The sequence below is a fragment of the Homo sapiens genome, chromosome 3, assembly GCF_000001405.40.
Source record: "Homo sapiens chromosome 3, GRCh38.p14 Primary Assembly".
NCBI classification, from domain to species: Eukaryota; Metazoa; Chordata; class Mammalia; order Primates; family Hominidae; genus Homo; species Homo sapiens.
In genome coordinates, this window is record NC_000003.12 from 182,633,062 (window position 1) to 182,652,936 (window position 19,875).

At 40.5% G+C, this 19,875-nt stretch overlaps 1 long non-coding RNA gene across 3 annotated transcripts in view; it reads left to right on the top strand.

Moving 5' to 3' along the window:
* The first annotated feature begins 11,038 nt into the window (after positions 1-11,038).
* Positions 11,039-19,875, top strand: part of LINC02031 (long intergenic non-protein coding RNA 2031) — a 30,497-nt gene continuing 21,660 nt past the window's right edge. For 2 of the 3 annotated variants that reach the window (XR_427440.3, XR_001741038.1), the window contains exons 1-3: positions 11,039-11,254; positions 11,407-11,512; positions 11,757-11,963. This is a non-coding gene — a long non-coding RNA (long intergenic non-protein coding RNA 2031). Of the gene's footprint in view, positions 11,255-11,406; positions 11,513-11,756; positions 11,964-13,093; positions 14,643-19,875 lie in introns of those variants that run through there. The other variant, XR_001741037.1, reaches the window with a different exon arrangement.

Here is a 19,875-nt window from a genome sequence, read left to right on the forward strand (position 1 = left end):
AATTGGCTTGCTTTTCCAAAACCAGTGGGGGAATAGAAACGGTGAGAGAGAGACTGGGTTGTGAGTGGATGGGACCGCAGATATAATTCCCTTGAATAAAATTATCACATAATGAGACGGATGCAAGACCAGAGATTGTATAAGACATGAAAGACATGATTCCAAATCAAAGCACTTTATTTGTCAAAGCAACTAAAATAGTTGTTTAAAACACACACACGCACACATGCGCACGCACGCACACACACTGTTTTCTAAAGCGTGATATTTTCTGCCTGAGCCTTTTCTTCTCACTTGGCAGCCCTGTTGTGTACACGATCTCTACAGGAATGCAGAAAAACCACCTGAGGGAGAAAATTACTAATCACTAAAAATTACTAATCACTCTCTAACACTAAACAAATCCCACCGGGAGGTTTTTAGTTACACACCAGGATATGGGCTCTCTCTTTTTTTTTTTTTTTCCTTCTCAGGTTAATGATACAAAGGCATACAAAATTTTAAAAAGGAAGCATGTCACATCTTAATATGCATTAGCAGGGATATTTTTACATGATAGCATCTAGGTCTCAGTCCAAAATAAAGGCAAAGTAGACTGAAAGTCTCTAATGCCTACCACTGGGTCTCTCAGAAAGAAAAGAGCCTGGAGGGAGTCGTACTTCCCACAGCATTGAATACAGCGCCTATCATTCCCCCGACTGTCACCCGTCACTCTCTCTAACATTCATCAACCTCCTTTTCCCATGATATTCAATTCACAAAGCCCATCAAGTGCCTATCATATATTATTTCATTAAATAGATTAGTGTGTTATTTATGGCAGGCCTCATCAAGTTATATCATATCTTCACATTGTTTATCTCTTACTTGTTTATCTTTTACTGTTTCTTTCATCCACTGTAAATAGTCTAGGCCCGTGTCCCTACTTAGTTGATCAGAGGTTGAGTGTTTCCCATTCAATGGTCATATTACAAATGAGAGAAATTAGTAGAAGCAATAGAATTAAGAGTTTCATTGTAATGCCTCTTGGATTTTTCTTCTTCTTTATTATTATTATTTTCACTGATGATGCAACATAATACCATTCACTATTAAAAATATGTTTAAGCAAGTGAAAAGCCCCCAAGTACAAAGTGAATGTTCTTCCCCACTAACTTCTTCTACCAGAAACCATTGTATACAAACACATTCTTTATGTGTCTAAGTATAGATAGATATATACATAAACATGTCCATCTAAGTGTAATAATGCAAAACATACAATTCTGTAATTTTATTTTCACTTAACAGTGTATCACAGCTGCCTTTCCATATGAAAAATATGGAGCTACAATCTCCTTTTGAACAGCCACTGAGTATTTATTCCATTTGGAGTTATATCATAATTAATTTAAATAATTTCCTATTTGTGGACATGTATCTTATTCCCCATTTTTCACCTTATCAATAAATCTTAGAAAAACAGGCCAGGTGCAGTGGCTTATGCCCATAATCCAAGCACTTTGGTAGGCCAAGGCAGGTAGATTACTTGAGGTCAGGAGTTTGAGACCAGCCTGGCCAACATGGTGAAACCCCATCTCTACTAAAAATACAAAAATTAGCCAGGTGTGGTGGTGCATGCCTGTAATCCAAGCTGCTCAGGAGGCTGAGGCAGGAGAATCACTTGAGCCCAGGAGGTGGAGGTTGCTGTGAGCCAAGATCACGCCACACTGCACTCCAGCCTGGGCAACAAAGTGAGACTCTGTCTCAAAAGAAGAAGAAGAAGGAGAAGGAGAAGGGGAAGAAAAAAAAACTAATAAATATGTCTTTGAATACCTTTCTAATTTTCTCCTAAAAATAACTTTCTGGAAAAGAGATCACCTCATCAAAAGACATGAACACAGTTTAAATTTTGAAATGTATTGACAATACACCTTGCAGAAAAGTTAATCCAATGCACCCACATTCTCACAAACACTACATATGATCAATATTTTTTGTCTCTGACAATCTGATAGATACTTATTAGATATAATGCCATTATTTTTTCAGGTGAATTTCCTTGATTGTTAGTAAAATGAAATATTTTCAGACAACTATTTCATTAATATTATGATGAAATCTAATTTTTAAGGTTAAAATTCTTCACGTTATTTTGTAGATTAAAACTACCCCTTGCTTTTATAGACTTCTATCCATCTATCACAGCATTAAGGAATCATAACTATTTTATAGATAAAGAAGCGGGGTCCAAAAAAAAGTAGATGGTTAAAAGAAAGTAAGTAGTTGACAAGCATTCTCATGCTACTTCTTAAAACAACAACAATAACCAAGATGGAGCATACTCTGTGCTCCAGATAGAATGTAGAAAACAGAAATGAACTCACATTTATCCCTATTCTAATTCAAGCCAGGCAGAGTTGAATTGGAAATGCATGTACAAAAAAAAGAAACCTAACTGATAAAGCATTTGAGTTTTTGCTCCAAAACCCCTTGATTTGATCTAGGAAAGAACATGTAGGAAAGGGTGCACCTCAGAGAAAAAGTGTGTGTGTGTGTGTGTGTGTGTACATATGTGAGCATGCACACGCATGTTAAAATGTGACACTTGGTCTTCTAGTTACATTTTTGCATTCAGACTAATTAAGCAACACCTGCTAACAACCCTGACAAAGGTGTCCCTTTCTCTCATTCCAGCCCCCAACTCCACATATACTGGCTCTGCAACCCCCACACACCTTTATTTGGTTGGGTTGGGAGCCTGTTGAGACCTCCCTGTCACTACCTGTGTGGCAAAACCAGCCTTCCCCAAGATCAGCTGCTCTGCAACAGTGCACAGGTGTGTCCTGGAGAAATCTCAGCATTCTTGTTCTTCACTTAGGCAGAAAGAAAACAAAAAGGCAGAAGATTAAGTTATACACAGGTACAAACAGATGAGAGAGAACCCAGGAGAAGCCATGTAAGCTGTAACCACATTTAGATAAATGCTACTGCAGGGTTCATGGTGATGCAGTTGAGCTCAAAATAAACTTTAAAAAAAATACAGAGGCTCAAAAATCTTATTTTTATGGGACAGCGCCAATTACTTTTAGTTGTTACGGCAATAAAAATTCCATCGTAAATATGATTATATTATTGGAGGAGAAGATCAGAATAGAATTGACATGTATTGAATACATCTATTATGTGCCATGTAGTATTTATGCCAAGACTTTAGGTGTTTTTCTTAAAATAGTGTGCTTTTTCTCCCAGACACAAAATACATGAATATACAGAAGTGAAGCTCTCTGGTATCTTCTCTTGCCCCTCACCAGTTTGTTGGCAATTCCTGGTGCCACGGACCTCCTATCTTTCAATGTGAAAACCTCTCCCTAATCCTGGTGTGCTCTCGTTTTCTCTCTCTCTCTCTCTCTCTCTCTCTCTCTTTCTATCTCTCTTTTTTTCTCTCTCTCTCTCACACACAGACACACACACACACACACACACACACATTATGATAACAATAATGAAAATGTTGCATTCTTAGGAAGGCACTACACAAACCCAAAAATCACTGTATCCTGCTGATACTGTGTGTAATCCAAGGAGACAACAACTGAAGTTTTTTACCTGCTGTGTTGAGGGAAGGCAAGTTAAACTCCTTAAAGAGAGAAGGATTTTTTTTTCAGGAGAGGCCAGGTGGCTGCTTTGTTTGTTTGTTTGTTTGTTTGTTCATTTGTTTGTTTGGGGCTGACTCCTATGTTGCAATAAGACTTCCACAACCTTGGGCAACCAAAATTCCAGTCCTCAGCTACAGAATATTACTCACTCTGTGGTTTAGGTTGTCTCAGGCTTGGCATGCCAGGACATCAGAACATTACAGAGAAAAAAAGCCAGAGCAATTAATTTTTCTTATGTCTACAAGAGGACAAAATATTTTAGGTAAACAACCTCAGCCAACATGGATAATTAACAACCATGTTTTAGAGAGGCGTTCCACTCAAGGAAACTCAAGCTTGGTTTTGTTTCTAGGTTTTTAATTCTTGAATATAAAGATGGTACTATCAAAACTAACATAAACCTATTTCTGGTAGAAATTTGCCCTTGCAACCTGTTTGCAGGATGCTTCAAACAAACTGGCAGGGTGTAGGTGGCCTTAGCTCAGAGGCAGAAAAATGAAGGGCAGAAAAATGAAGTGCAGAAACATACAGGTCTCCAGGATGCTGCTGCTACGCTAAGGACAAATGACATGAACATGGTCCTTCCCAGACCTTAGAGCTGCTGTTGAATTATGACAAGCCATAGAAGTAATAAGAATTGAGGAGGAGGGGTTGTGGGGTTGGGGGTGCATAGCTTTGTGTTCGGGAGCACAGGTGTTCAGGCCACTGGGGTTCAAATTCCACCCAGCTCAGCTACTTACTGATGCCATGACCTTGGGCAAGTTTTTTTAACCTGCTTTACTATCTCTTCCTCTGTAAAATGAGCACAGTAATAGGACTCCCTCATGAGTTTGCTGCTATGACAGAATGGGATGATGCCTATTACACTCTTGCCTGCACAGTGCTGGCGTCATGGCTTGACAGACAGCAGAAGTTGGCATTGCTATCCAGTGTCATGCTCCTAGAGAGGACACATGACTTGTCCAATGTCTCCCAGCTGGTTAGCCAGGACTGGGACTCAGTTAAGCCCACTTCTTTCATTGCTCTGCCATCACCAGGGTGAACTGATTTAAGGAAACAAGTTGATTTTCCATGCAGCCCAGCCCCACCTAGCTCTACTGGCCCCACCTTTATTCTGGGCCCTGCCCTGCCATGCCCTGTTCTGTGTTGCCCTGCCTTGCCCTCCTCCAGCTACCCTGGATCAGCCTCAGTAGAAGGATCTAGATCAGCCAAGCCTGAGCACCAGTCTAACAGGATAATGAGGCCAAGGTCCAAAACCAACACCTTGACCCATAAACCCAGACTGAAAACTGCTGACATGGCAAGCAAAAGGTGGGGGCTTCCAAACTCTGAGAAAGGGAAGTGCAGGCTGGTAGGTGGTGCCCCAACCAGCTCTTCCCAAGAAGCTATGTGAGAGGTTTGCAAGGGTTCTGTCAACAATTATAAGCCCAACAAACAAACAAAACAAAGACAGACAAACCTTCACTCAAGGGTGGAATGAAATGAAAGAAAGGCAAAAGGCCCAGGGCATCAGTTCTAGGGTTCCTGAGAAATGGTGACAGCAGTTCAGAAAATGAAAAGCAGCAAAGGAAGATGAGCCACACCAGTCTGAGCATAGAGGAAAGACCTGAGCTGTCATATTTGCACCAGTTCTGCCCCTATCAGGTTCACAAAAAGTTCTGTGTTCCATGCTGGGCATCTACAAGAGAGGAGAGAGGCAAACGCTGGGATGTGCCCAGGAGACAGCAAACAGGCTAGTGGTGAGTCTTAATACCATATGGGAGGAAAGAAAAGATTTCAAGGTGATTGCTAAAGAGATGAGACTTCTCGATGTGATATGGCAGCTTTCACTGAATAGCTGATATTTTCCCAGGTAGTCCCACTTTGTCAAAGTGGCTCCAAAAGGCAGAGCGAGGCTTGGAGAATGGAACTCACAGGCAGGCAAATTTCAGCACAATACAACAAAGGTGTGTCCACTGACATTCAAAGTTGTAATGGACTCTGGTGGGAAAGTTGAGCTCTCCTGGCGGTTGTCAAGGAGATGGTGGAAATAGTACTGGCAGGATTCCTGCACTGGGTATGGGGGTTGTGAAGTTGACCTTTGACTGTTGAGGTCCCTTTCAATTCCAACACTGGTAAAATGGGGTGAGTCAGTGAGCACACCTAGAGCTACTTTTATTCAGAATAAACACCGATTCATGTGTCTTCCCCTCCTCCCATCACTTGGCTTTTTCCTAAATAAGTAAAGGGGACATAATTGTTCTCTAACCCTCAGATTCAATAACATTTAGATGCTGTTTATTAACTCCTTGAAAATAAAATTCTAAATTACAAATCTCTCTCTCTCTCTCTCAAATTCTAGTGTGTTAGAAACAGGGAAATCAAGAAGTGATAAATACATTTTTAAAAGCTCAAGACTGAGGAATTCGACTACATATATTTTAATATTCTGTATGTCAAATAAACATAGAAAACAAAACTAAAAGGCAAATACCTTGGAAAATGATCATTTTGAAACAAATGAAACTGAAGAATAGTGTCTAAATATATGAGTAGTTTATATAAATCAATATGGGGACAATCATAGCAATAGAAAAAAATGCAAAGGGCATGAATAGAAAATATTCAAAATGAGATATATAAACGACCAATAAATATATGAAAAACGTTCAAAGTTGTCAAAGAAATGCCAGTTAAAACAATAATGAGGCTGGGCGCGGTGGCTCACGCCTGTAATCCCAACACTTTGGGAGGCCAAGGAGGGCGGATCATCAGGAAAGGAGTTTGAGACCAGCCTGACCTACATGGTGAAACCCCGTCTCTACTAAAAATACAAAAATATTAGCTGGGCATGGTAGTGCGTGACTGTAATCCCAGCTACTCAGGAGGCTGAGGCAGGAGAATCACTTAAACCCGGGAGGCAGAGGTTGCAGTGAGCCGAGACTGTGCCACTATACTCCAGCCTGGGTGACAGAGCAAGACTCCGTCTCAAAAAAAAAAAAAATAAAAGAGAGCGAGAGAATTCTATTGTACCTATAATATTGGTTTGCACTTCTTTATTAAAAATTCAAACAGACCTGGATCCCTGTTTTGGGGGTGAACAAACACAATGGGTTTCTACACAAGGGTGTTTGCTTCAAAGTGGGGAGCATTCTGACACCTTTAAAGTGTTAAAATATAATCTCTCTTCAGACAGAAACAATTGATAGTGGAGAATTTCAAGCACAGCTCTATCATTCATTTGAAATGGATTCCATGGCTGAACTCTTTTCTGGTTTCTCACTGTAGCATTAGAAAAGAACACAGCACAATTTTTGCAGAGACTTCTTGCAAGGACCTCATCATAAGCATTACATATTTTATTTGCTGAAATGTAAAATTTACCTTTTTGAGAATAGTGCAGACAGGCCTTGGTGAAACGTACCAGAAAACCCTAGATATGAGTCACAATTTGCTACTTCCAGCTCTTTGCAAGAGAGAGGTAAATATCTTATTAAATGTATAGTAAGTTTCAGGGCCCTTTAGGTCCATGACAGGAAATTTGACCAAGGGTCTCTGAAACACAATTTTAAGTGGCTAATTTAAAAAAACAAACACACACTCAAATTTCATTTTGATGCCTGTAAAAACTTACATGAAAAGTTTGGTTTAGGAACATTTCGAGGTACTAACTGGAAAAGGATCCCTGAATATCTTTAAAATTCCCTTGTGCTTTCCTTCTCCCTGACTAGCGAGAAAAAGTCAGGGGTAACTGAGTGGAAAACAGGGAAGAAACACTGTGATGAGGAAAGTATGAAAAGAAAAAGTGTGGAAAAATCTTCCCTGAAAGAGACACTACTGGACTATAGTGACTGGAATGATGGTCAGGAGGGCAAGGATGGTTGGTTAAAAGTAGAAGGAAAGAACAAAAAAGTGTCTTTAAAAAGAAAGTAGAAGTAGGAGACAGGAAAGCTGGAAGGAAAAATAACATGAAAATAAACTCAGTACAGCCAGCTGAAGGACAATCTTCCTTGGGGCTTTTCTACGAGCAATTAGTCTTCTGGGTGTTCATCTCCTCAAAGGCAGGGGAACAAACACTGCCAGGAGATGGCAAACAGGCTAGTGGTGAGTCTTAACACCACGTGGGAGAAGGAATAGAGAAAAGATTTCAAGGTGATTGTCACGGAAATCTTTTTTTTTAATTGTTTTTAATGTTCCCATTTTCCAGCCTCATTGGTTATGGAATACTGTTGATTGGAATTGAATTTAGAGAATATTGAATTTCTCCTTGTTTTATTTTCTAAATTTTAGTGACTTTTTATTATTGTATGGTAATTGGAGGAAATTTAGAGAATACAGAAGAAACAGAAACAGTAAAATAAAATTCACTTTTACTTTCCTCTCACAGGTAACACTATTAGGCTGAAGTAAAAATATTCCTGTCTTTTTACCATTGTTTTCATTTACAAAATGAAGGCTGAAACCAATGAACAATATCTGAATGTTGCACAATACTGTTTCAAATAAATAAATTTTAAAAAGAGCAGAAGCCATTTGACATTTTCTAGACTTCTCAATGATATAAAACCTTTAACTCATTGTTTCTTAAAAAAAAACAAATAAGGAGCATCAACTCTGATTTTGTCAAGAGCTGACACCAGAGTGGAGATAGCCAAGGAGAGAAAGAGGATAAAAAAGGAAATTTGTCCAATCCAAAAACTGAGTAAACTACTTTGTATAAGCAAATAATATAATGTATAAATTACTTTCAGTTTGTATAAAAAAATAGCATATCGTGTATGTAAAACAAGTGTACAATTGAGTAAGCAAATGCCATTACTCTACAGAGTTTTCAGGGTAACAACTTTCACTCCAGTCATTATTAGAGTCTGTATTGCATCCTAAGACTTTTTTTTCAAACCAGTCGAAGGACATCAGGACAAACCTCCCCAATATATGCCATGGAAGCTGAGACCTGAGGGATGTGCAGGCAGATGCGAGCAAGCTGACAGGCTAGCCTGGGGCTATGGTAGCAAAGAAAGAGAATTTCCAGTAGAAGGAATAGTGTGTTCAAGAGGGAAGAGAGCATACCACTTTCTAGGACCTAAAAGGATTCAGCATGGTAGATGCAGAGCTCCAGGATGATGCATGATGTGAAATGAAGATGGAGATGAGGCCAAATAGGGCACAGTCTTGCCTAGCCCCTCACCAAGCCTGTCATCAGCATTTGTTCCACATAGGAAATATTAGGCAGAGAGGCTGTTTTTTTGTGAGCCCTAAAGAATGTTCTTTGTAGGGAAAGGCACTGACCTGGAGCTTTTGCATGGTGGCACCCTACCGTGGAGCTTACCATTGCCATCAACACGTGGCTCCTGCCAGTTCTATCAAGGCTGGTCAAAATCCGCAAGCACTTCTATAGCACTATAGTTCCAGGCATGGTGCTAAGAGCTGTGCATGAATTGACTCATTAAGTCTGTGACATAATCTTATGAGATAGAGCCTATTCTTTTTTTTTTCTTTTCTTTTTTGAGATGGAGTCTCGTTGTGTCGCCCAGGCTGGAGTGCAGTGGCACGATCTCGGCTCACTGCAAGCTCCGCTTCCCGGGTTCACACCATCCTCCTGCCTCAGCCTCCCGAGCAGCTGGGACCACAGGTGCCCACCACCACGCCCAGCCAATTTTTTTTTTGTTTTTAGTAGAGACAGGGTTTCACCATGTTAGTCAGGATGGTCTCGATCTCCTGACCTCATGATCCGCCTGCCTCGGCCTCCCAAAGTGCTGGGATTACAGGCGTGAGCCACCGTGCCCAGCCCTGAGATAGAGCCTATTCTTATCCCCATTTCATTGATTAGAAAACTGAGACACAGAGAGTCTAATGTGCCCAAAGGCACAAAGCAGGCAAGCGGCAGAGGTGGGCAGTTTGGCTCCAGCAGCCTTGCTCCTAAGGGTTACCCCACACACCCTCTTGGCGAGTATTATGTGCATACCGTATGGCCTGCACTTTGCATCCACGTGAAGCAAAAAACCAGCATGGGGAATGTGTCCCGGTGACAAGAGGCCTCACTCGCTACTCTGCTACATAAGATAAAACTGCTTGGCAAGTCCTTAGCTAAATATTTCAGTCATTCATCAACAGGTGTGCCTCCTTCAGTGGCAACAGAGGAATAATGATTCTCTCTGGTATTTGTATAACACGCTGTCACTTACAAAACACTTCCTCATGTTGTCTCTTGGTGATGGTTGTCACAACAACCCCGTGAAGCCAGAAAGACAGGATTGTCCTGAGAATCAGACTCTGAGGAGGGAAGGGACTGCCAAGGACACTAGCAGGGGAGCCCAGACTCAAACTTTGGGGTTCTGACTTGAGCAAGGCTCTAAGGAAGGTCACTGCACCTGAGCTGGCCTTGGTTGGACTATTGGCTTAGCCAATTAGAAACTACTTAACTCGCTAATGATATGGGCTCTCTGCCTGCATTTCCTCACCTCGAAAATAGTGATAATAATACCTGCAGTATACAGTAGTTGTAAGCACTTGATGAGGTAACAGGGGACAAAGGCCACTCAACGAATTCTGTGTTTCCTTTTTACTGTCAACTTCATGTGCCTGCCCTTGGAGAAAGTGTATGTCCCTGAATTTTTAAATTAAATTATAGCTTAGATGTTGTTTTATAGAAGAACAAGTATGGTATGGTTGCATGAATATTCAACATTCCCTCTCCTGTCTCCCCACCATCATTTTCACAAATTTCAATTTTCTCTTTAGAGTTTTCTTAAAGCAGGCAACTTAATCTGCAGCCTCCAGAATATGTGCATGTGATGGAGAGGAGGGCACAGATTCTCCATCACATTTCTGAAGGCAACAAAATCTGGCTGGCTCAGATGGAAACTCCCATGGCCAGAGATGGGTGGGACTTGCTCCAGGACCCCTCCTTGGAGACAGCACTAGACCCTGGCCTTCCTGAAGCCCAGCCCAGCATGCAGGCCACTGGATCACACTCTGTTTTTCCCCAGCTCCCAGGGACTCCATTGTCCCCAGAAGCATAAAAGCCTGCACTTCGGGGTAAGATGTTCCACCAGAGCTAAATGCTCCAAGGACAAAAGCTAAAACCTCCAAGGACAAGCATCACAATCCATCTGCCACGAGCCCTCTGGGCTTCATTCTGGCAGCCGTGACTGCTAAAAGCGTGTTCTGTGTTCCCCTGCAGAAGTAAACAGCAGAAAACACTGAGAATTGGGGAAATTCGCTGTCATCTTTAAGAATATATAACAAAAAAAAACACGTCATGCATTTTTTATGTGAAATAAGTTCAGAAGCTGAAATGTCTGAGGGAGAAAATGAGTCTTTGAATAGAAATCTGCAGGAGGGACAGAATGGAGGGAAAAGGCCGCATTTTGAAAATAACTACATTTCTCTTATTTCTTTTTTTTAAAAACACTGCCTGTTCAAGTGAGAATAAGCAGTCTCCAACAAGTATCCTCCCCTTGGCTCTTCCTGAGGCCTCTAAATCCAGGGAGGAGGAAATGGTGTAGTTTGCTTTGCATGTTTCTGTTGTATTTCTGTGGCACTTGATTGCCCTGGTGGTGTTTACCTCACAAATGCTGCCTAATTCAGGCCAGAGGGAAGGCAGAGCCAGTGAAAAGAGCTCCACGGGCTAGAAGGTGAGCAGGCTGAACATGCAGCACTGGAAGCCTATTCAGAAGCAATCAATAAGCGGTAGTAGTAGCTTTGGCTGCAGAGCATTCAGTGCCTGTTTGGGGGATGGATAGGGACAGCCAGCCTTTGGTTATTGACAAGTTCTCCATTATCTTAGAGGGTGGACCCAGGAAGAGATGGCCTCCCCCTGTCCCTGACTCAACTGGAGCTCAGTTCACTCTGCTTTGAAGGAGTAGGAGGAGAACACTACTCACAAAAAGGAGGTTTGTAATGGGCTCTCACACTCCCTCCTCCATCACCCTGTATCCCACAGACACTGATATAGCTCTGTCCTTTGAACCCTGTCTGTTCCAGGAAGGCTTTGTGGATCCCCCAGGGCAGAGTTAGGGGCTCTTTCTGGGTCTCTCAAAGCCATCTGTTTCACTTTGTTAGTGGTGCTTCACTATGCTGAATTTTAAGTATCTTTTCACTTGTCTCTCTCCTCTCCCTGGCTCTAACTTCCTTAAGGGCAAGAACCGGCTTGTTCACCATTGTATTCCTGCACCACAGCATAAGCACTCAATCATTATGGGTTAAAGGCTGAAATTCAAAAAGAGAAAGGGAGATGTTAGACACCTACTGACCAAGGAGGTGCCCTCCATTCTGCTTAACCACCGCCCAGGCCAGTCATTTCTCTCCCTGGAAGACTTTGAGTCATGCACGCGCAAGGAAAATGTGAGTAGATGAGTTGGATTATGAGCTGTAGTGGACAAAACAGAGGCTTTGATGTTAGAACAGCTCTGGTTTTGATTCCTGGCTCCACCAATGCATGCTCTCTATATAAGCTTGGATAATTTTTTGTAACTTCTCTTAACTTTCTCATTTACCAAATGATGATAAGAAGGTACAACAGAACTAATATAAAGGTATGTGAAACAGTCACGTGATTGTTGGTGTTATGAGTGTTAGCTCATGCATTGCTCTGCTAGTCTGTTTTCCACTCCTGCACTCTTCTTCCCAACTCTTCAAAAGCTCCTATACCCCAACCTCTACTGCAGCCTCCAATTCTCACTGCTTTATACAGTGAGAAACAAAATAATTCTTGGTTTTCTCTTGTTTCCAAAGGCCCAGTTTTGGGGTTGTTTTTTTTTTTTTTTTTTTTTTTTTTTGAGTCGGAGTCTCACTCTATTGCCCAGGCTCTGGAGTGCAGTGGCGCGATCTCGGCTTTCTGCAAGCCCTGCCTCCCGGGTTCACACCATTCTCCTGCCTCAGCCTCCCGAGTAGCTGGGACTATAGGTGCCTGCCGCCACGCCCAGCTATTTTTTTTTTTTTTTTTTTTTGTATTTTTAGTAGAGACAGGGTTTCACCGTGTTAGCCAGGATGGTCTCAATCTCCTGACCTCATGATCCACCCACCTCAGCCTCCCAAAGTGCTGGGATTACAGGCATGAGCCACCGCACCCGGCCCAAAGGCCCAGTTTTTAATAAACCATAGATTTGGAAAAACTAAGTGATTCCTTCTTTCTGCAGAGGATTTCCCACCTCTGCCTCCAAGCTCTTTAGGAACAAGAACCTTCTACAAGCTGAGAGAGTGAAACCAATAAGTTACATGCTGGTTTGGAAGCCCAGCTCCTGCCCTTTGGGGCCAACTCCCATTAAGAAGAGCTGGTGCGGGAGGAGGGAGATAGAACATCTGTGTAAGTTCCAGACTCCCTAAAGAAAGAGGACTTGAATCTCACTTGTTCTGAGAGGGTCTGCTGGTAGACTTGTAGAGTGTCAAGCCAGAATAAGGGGGTGCTGCAGGAAGGATACATACTGCATGCATCATCCCTTGGGATAGCTAAAAAGAATGCAATTATTTCTTAGGAGATTGCTGCTGTGGAGGACATGCCCAAAGACCAAACCGACCAGCTACATCTCATGGGAGATAGAATGAGATCTCAACCAGTCAAAATTGAGAAGGGCACGCCGTGCTCTCCTCCAAATCCAAAGTGGCATATTCACAAATCTCTGCAGTTTTCAAGATCAGTATCAGGAAGGAGAAAAGGAAGAAGAGGGAAAGCCCACAGTTACATAGGTGTAAATATGAAATGACTAATGTGATCGTCAAAGGAACAGAGTTGACATAGATATAATGGGACTAAATTTTTTATATCATAAAAAAGTTGGTTTATGATAAAATTTAAGTTCACTTACAGAAAAACAGGGAGAGCTACATTCTTGCTTTTTTGTGGGCTTTGAAATTCACAGGAAATATAAATATACTTACAAAAATATAAATATACTTACAAAAATATAAATACACTCACAACAAACATAAAACATCTAAAAAGGGGCCTCGTCCATAGGAGGTTCTGAAGAAATTGGCTTCCCTAAGCTGGATTATCTAAATTTTTATGCTAATACTTATCTCTAAAATCAGAGACATTTGTAACTTGGCTCCAGTAATGAGTAAGGCTTACTTTGAAAATGCAAACAAATCAATCAACAATCTTTATAACATCCAACAACAATAGAAGAAGAGCACTGTCCTTCCAGAAAGTGACACTGTGATTAGTAAAACAAGATAATGTCCATCATTACTAATGGCCATTGCCCTCATGGTAGTGAAGGTGGAACAGCAATATAAAACCCATAGGCTCTATCTCCCAAGCATACGCAAATCTCAGCCACTTCTCATCATTTCCATGACTGTCACCCCAATCCAAGCCACCATGTCTCACCTGGACATTGCCCAGTCTCCCTGCTTCTGCTCTTATCCCTATAGTCTGCTCTCAACATAGAGTGGCCCTTCCCTTTTAAGAGCATAAATAGGATTATGTTACTCTTCCCCTTAAAACACTCCGAAGTAGCTTAAGTCTCACCATCCTTTCCTTAAGAGTGAGCTTGATTCCAAAGAATAGAGTAGGAAAAGGTGAAAATAGTAACTTCATGGTGGAGAAATCTGGAAAACCTACCTCAACCAAGTGATGAAAGTTAACCTCACTAGAGACATCATATGGATGCAGGTACCTGTTGATATGATGTGATAAGAAGGGCACTCACTTCTGTATTCTTTCTGATGACTCATTGCCCTAGTCCAATCATAAGAAAAACAAAAGACAAACCCAGATTGGGAAGATTCTATGGGGTACCTGACTGCTATTCCTCAAGACAGTCAAGGTCATGAAAACAAGAAGACTGCCAAAGACCAGAGAAGACTGAGGAGGCATGGCAACTAAGTGCAATGTGGTACCATATATTGAATCCTGGAACAGAAAGAGGACACTGATGGAAAAACTAGCAAATCCAAATAAAACCTGACGTTTATTAACAGTAATAAGCCAATGTCAATATTCTAGTTTTAACAAATGAACCGCGGTAATGTATGATCTTAATAACAGGGGAAACTATATAAGGGATATACAGCAACTTTCCGGACTATCTTTATAACTTTTCTGTAAATCTAAATTGTTCCAAAATAAAAAGTTTCATTTTTAAAATTCATGCAGAAATGTAATTCTCTTTATATTTATGTAATCAACTTTAGCTTTTGATAGCCCATTTTCATAAACAACAAAAAACTTTCAGTGTTATCATTTCAGTACAAAATAACTTCCAGAATAAGATTTATTCATATTTAGTTTTTTTAAAAAAAAAAAAAAAAGATCCCAAAAGACTCCACACATCTCTGACAATCTCAGTTCCAAAGTTCTTACCAAAGTCTAGAATGTCCCAGGTGAACTGATGGGCCTGGCCACTCTTCCCTCTCCAGCATCCTTGCCTCTTCCTCACCTTGCTGTTCTTGAAAAGCTTCAAGCACATTCTTAGTTCAGGGCCTTTGCGTTTGCTATTCCCAGAAACCTACATGGTCCCATTTTTCTCAAACCTCTACTCAAATATCAATTTTTCTTTTTTAAGAACAAAACAGGTATACTTCTATTAGACCACCTGACACAGAAGTTAGTGTGGTATGGATGGACAGTATGAATGACAAATAATACAAATATATTTTATTTGAAATAAAAATGTGTACGCAGCTCAGTGGGTCACTTGGAAACAAACTCTTGCTTTGCTGTATTCAAAGAGGTTTTCCATGACTACACTTCAATAACACTCTGACCCTCATCCCCATCACTGCCCAGCCCTTTACCTTGCTTTATTTTTCTTCATACTTCAAATTACGTGACATTATATTATAGACTCATTTGGGTTTGCTTTTTTGGATTTTTTGTGGGTTTTGTTGTTGTTGTTGTTGCTTTTCTCCATGAGGAGAGGGATTTTGTCTGTTTTGCAGTCAAATGGTCTACCCCTGAGCTACACCCCCAAGATTTTTTCTGTTTTGATCACTGCTATAACCTCAGTACTTAGCAGTTCCTGGCACATGGTAAGAGTTTAATCTGTTAAATGAATGAATAAAAATAAAATCAGAGCAGTTCTTGCTGCAAACCATGTCTCTTCAGGTGGCTTTGGTTCATTTCAACTGGAAAACTGAGATTGCCTTCTGGGCCCAAAAGATACCTGATGATGGACATGCTTGATGTAAATGAAACAAAACCTCCTGCCTTGGACTAATTATAAGAAGCTATTTATAATTAGCTCATTGTTAAATTAATCAGCAAGCTGTTGCTACCTCAGGAATAAAGTTTAATTTCCCAAATGATTTTGGCACTGCTGATAAGCCCGTGGGCAATGGACAATATTTAACTGCCAGCAGACGTTAAAGAAAATGACTTGTTTGACTAAGATGCTGGTAAAATGTGTTAATGAAACATATCTTTTTAACTTATTGGCATGAATAAGCCATATTCCTTACTGTAATTATTTTTAGAATCAGAATAATCTAGATACTTCAAATTATACCCCCTACCCGATAGAACGTTCTGAAATTATAGAAATGTTCTATACCTTGATTGGGGTGGTGGTTACATAGGTAAACACATTTATCCAAGTTCATTGATTCACTTAAAACCAGTGCATTTAGCTATGCATAAATTTTACCTCAATTTTTTAAGTGTATCCCTATATTGGTGATAATTTCATTGTCTACAACCCATCTTAAGAAAATTCATTTTGTAGGAGAAATACATATTTTTATAGATAATTGTATCAGTTAGTAAGGGGATGTATATATCACAGGGACCAACATTTGAACTATATTTTTTTGTTTGGAAGTTTCTAACTAAAAGTACTACATTCATATTTCCCATTATTATCATCATTATACATTTTTTAGCTGACACACAAAGCATCTTGAAAACGTTTGCTCTCTTCATGCAGAAAATTGTAAAACAATAGTAGCAAAGTTGATACTCCTCAAATCTAAATATTAGCAGCACAATCTCAAATGGAGGCAAAATTTACTTGAATATTTCCAGGTGCAGGGAGAATTTCTGTAGAAAAAAAAGGTAATTTTTTTTTTTTTTTTTTTTTTTTGAGAGAGAGTCTCGCTCTTGCTGCCCAGGCTGGAGTGCAATGAATGGTGTCATCTCTGCTCACTGCAACCTCCATCTCCCAGGTTCAAGCAATTCTCCTGCCTTAGCCTCCCAAGTAGCTGGGACTACAGAAATGCACCACCACACTGAGCTAATTTTCTTTTTTTTTTTTTTTTTCAGTAGAGACAGGGTTTCACCATGTTGGTCTCAAACTCCTGACCTCAAGTGATCCACCTGCCTCAGCCTCCCAAAGTGCTGGGATTACAGACGTGAGCCACTGCCACACAGCCGAATAAAGGTAAATATTTTAATTGGAATTAAGTCCAGTGAAAAGCCTATTCCTTAATGGGGGAGAAATAAAGACACCTGCAGGTAATTAACATGATTGTTAACACAAAAGGAAACACAGGTAATGAACTACAACTACAAGCACTCAGCTTGACTCAGCAATATTGTGAATTTGGAATTCCAACAGTAAATTAGCTTTTAAAATTATTCCAGAACAATATAATATATGTTTCTGTGTCTAAATTGCTAGGAACTGACATCAAATTTTCCTAAGAGGTGGTACTTATATAAAAGTAGAATAAATGTTTGCAATATTTCTACCTTGAATTTCACAAAGCTGACCTAATTTATTAACCATTGCAATATAAAAAAAGTTTTCTCACCTGAAGGCCACTCCAGGTGACAATTGGATGGGTGAGGCTGACATCCTTTCTCTCATAAGTATTTGCTTTGACTACCGACTCTCCTAACTTTATCCATGCACTTCACAACACTTATCACCATCTGAAATTACATCGTTTATGTTTGTTTGTTGACTTGTTGATGGGCAGCCTCCTCCATTGCCATGTGAGCCCTCTGAGGGTAGGACTTGGATTCTCCTGTCTTTGTTGTGCCCCAGCATGTAGAACAATGGCCTGGCACATAGTGGCTACTGAATCACCAGATTCAGCCACTCTAATGATGTGTGCATGCCCTGGGAGAATGGAGCCCACAGGCTAAGAGAGCTGTACTACCTCACCCTAAATGACTGGGTCTGGGGCCACTGCACAGAGACTCATCCAGGGGAGCGGTGCAATGGCCAGTCGAGCAGTGGACCAGAACAGGAGTGTGGTGACTAAAGAGGGTAGGGCAGTGGAAGAAGGGAGGGCCACAGGTAGTGGAGAGGTCTGCACTGGCTGAGGTCTAGGGTTTGTGGCACAGGGAGCCAGGGAGGTACAAAGAGCCAGGTCCAGGTGAGCAGGTAGAGAACAGGACAGAATCCACAGTGCAGAGTTAACAACAAATAAGTAAGGCAGTACCAGGGAAATGTTCCAAAGGTGAGGCCCAGATTAATCCAAAAAGTTGATACAGACAACTAAAGTTGTTGATAGGATGACTGTGGCCTAGTTAAGGGCGCTGAGTCTATTCAGACAAGTCATCATAAATGCTAATTCATCTTCACACTATTTCTGGCAAAACTAAAATTGTCTTTGGCCTTAGAAGGTAGATAACATGACGTATGTATGCCCATTCAAGGACAGCTTGAATTGAGTTTCCTTTTCACTTGAGAGTTGTAAGTGTTCAGGATATATATATAATATATATATATGATTTGTACACACATCCTACATATTATATATATATATATAAGTCAACTATATATATAACTAATGTACACACAAAGTCTGAGAGATATATACATACCACATCTATAGGTATGTCTTTAGTTGATGGAGAAATAAGGAGAAAGACATAGAAACAGAAGGAGAGACTTGAAGCAACAGAGAGACTAGGAGTTAGAGATTGAGAGAAAGAGAGAACATGAGAGGAACTTTCAGAGATAGAGCTCTTCATACAGGAAGAAGCCAAAGTCTTGTTTGTTTTTTGAGGGCGGTGGTGCACTTTGGATTCGGAACGCCATGTCGTAAAAACAATGTCCACATGTCTGGATTATGTTTGGGTTATCTGCACCCTCCGATCTTAGTGCAACAGGATTTGCCAGTGGACCATATCCACTGGAACAAAGACGCAAAAAGGTTTCGCATTCCTTCACACACACCGTCACACTGTGACCTCCAGGGTCCAAGGGCCACTTCTGTCTGTGACATGTCCATCTCCTGTCATTAGGCCTCCATGCCTTCAACCATGAAAAGTTTACTAACAGGGAGAAGGAAAAGGAGCTTGACACCTTTCGCAGTTTAGTAAAAGCCCCTTTAATGGTTATGTTTTCTTTAGTATTGCTGTTTTCCATCTTTATTACCTAAGGCTGCACTTGACTGCAGGGGAGGTGATAGTCAATGACTTGGTAGTGGTCATTAGGCTTCAGGATGTCATTGTTTGTTGATAGGTAGGAGTACTGCTCACCCTCTTCCTTTGCTAGATACAATGCCTTTGAGTGAAGGGTCCTAACTGCTAGCTAATATCCCAGCTGAGTGTCAGAGTGCTAAGGCATGCATGCTACTCTTCAATGTGGGTCACTTCAAAAGATAAATGCTGGAGGATGTTAGATTAGATTTTCCTGAAATTCTAGCTTTCATTTGTGTAAATAAATGTCATCTAATGCTTACCAATAGCATCGAACTAAAATGAATAAGAATCTTGGGTTTCAGACAGAAATGACCAATGGAGATATTTGTGTCGGTGGGTAAAGATAGCTAGAACTCTTCTAGCTAGCCCAAGCCTTGTCAAAGACTGCCTACATGTCAATGTAAAAATGATTAGTGGAAGAAGAGTCAATGCACTATAAGAAAACTGAATTTTCATTTTAATAATTAGAAGAGAAATTAATTCATAAAGAAATGAGCTTAAAAGACAAATGAGTTGATTCCCATAAGCTGTCCAAAATAACCCATTACTTGATAATTCATAAGAATATCCAAAAGTAATCTGATGTAAAGTATCTACCCTTCACCCCTACAAACATTCCTTTCTGCCCTGATTTGTTCCTCCCATTTATCTTTTCTAACTCACCAAAGTATATAATTATCCATATAGAGAATTTGTGACCCCAAATTGTCTTCTGAGAAATCCCATAGGAATGTGTAGTGGCACTGAATGTCTTTGCTTATTAAAGACTATTCCTGTAACCCATAATTAATCTAATCATTCTTTTCTTCATTCAGAAAATATTTACTGATAACTACTATGTCCCAGGCATTGACTGTGCTGAGAATGCAATGGGGAATAATATAAACAGGTTCCCTGCCTTTGTGAAACTAGTAGTCTGCTAGGAAAGAAGCTACTAAT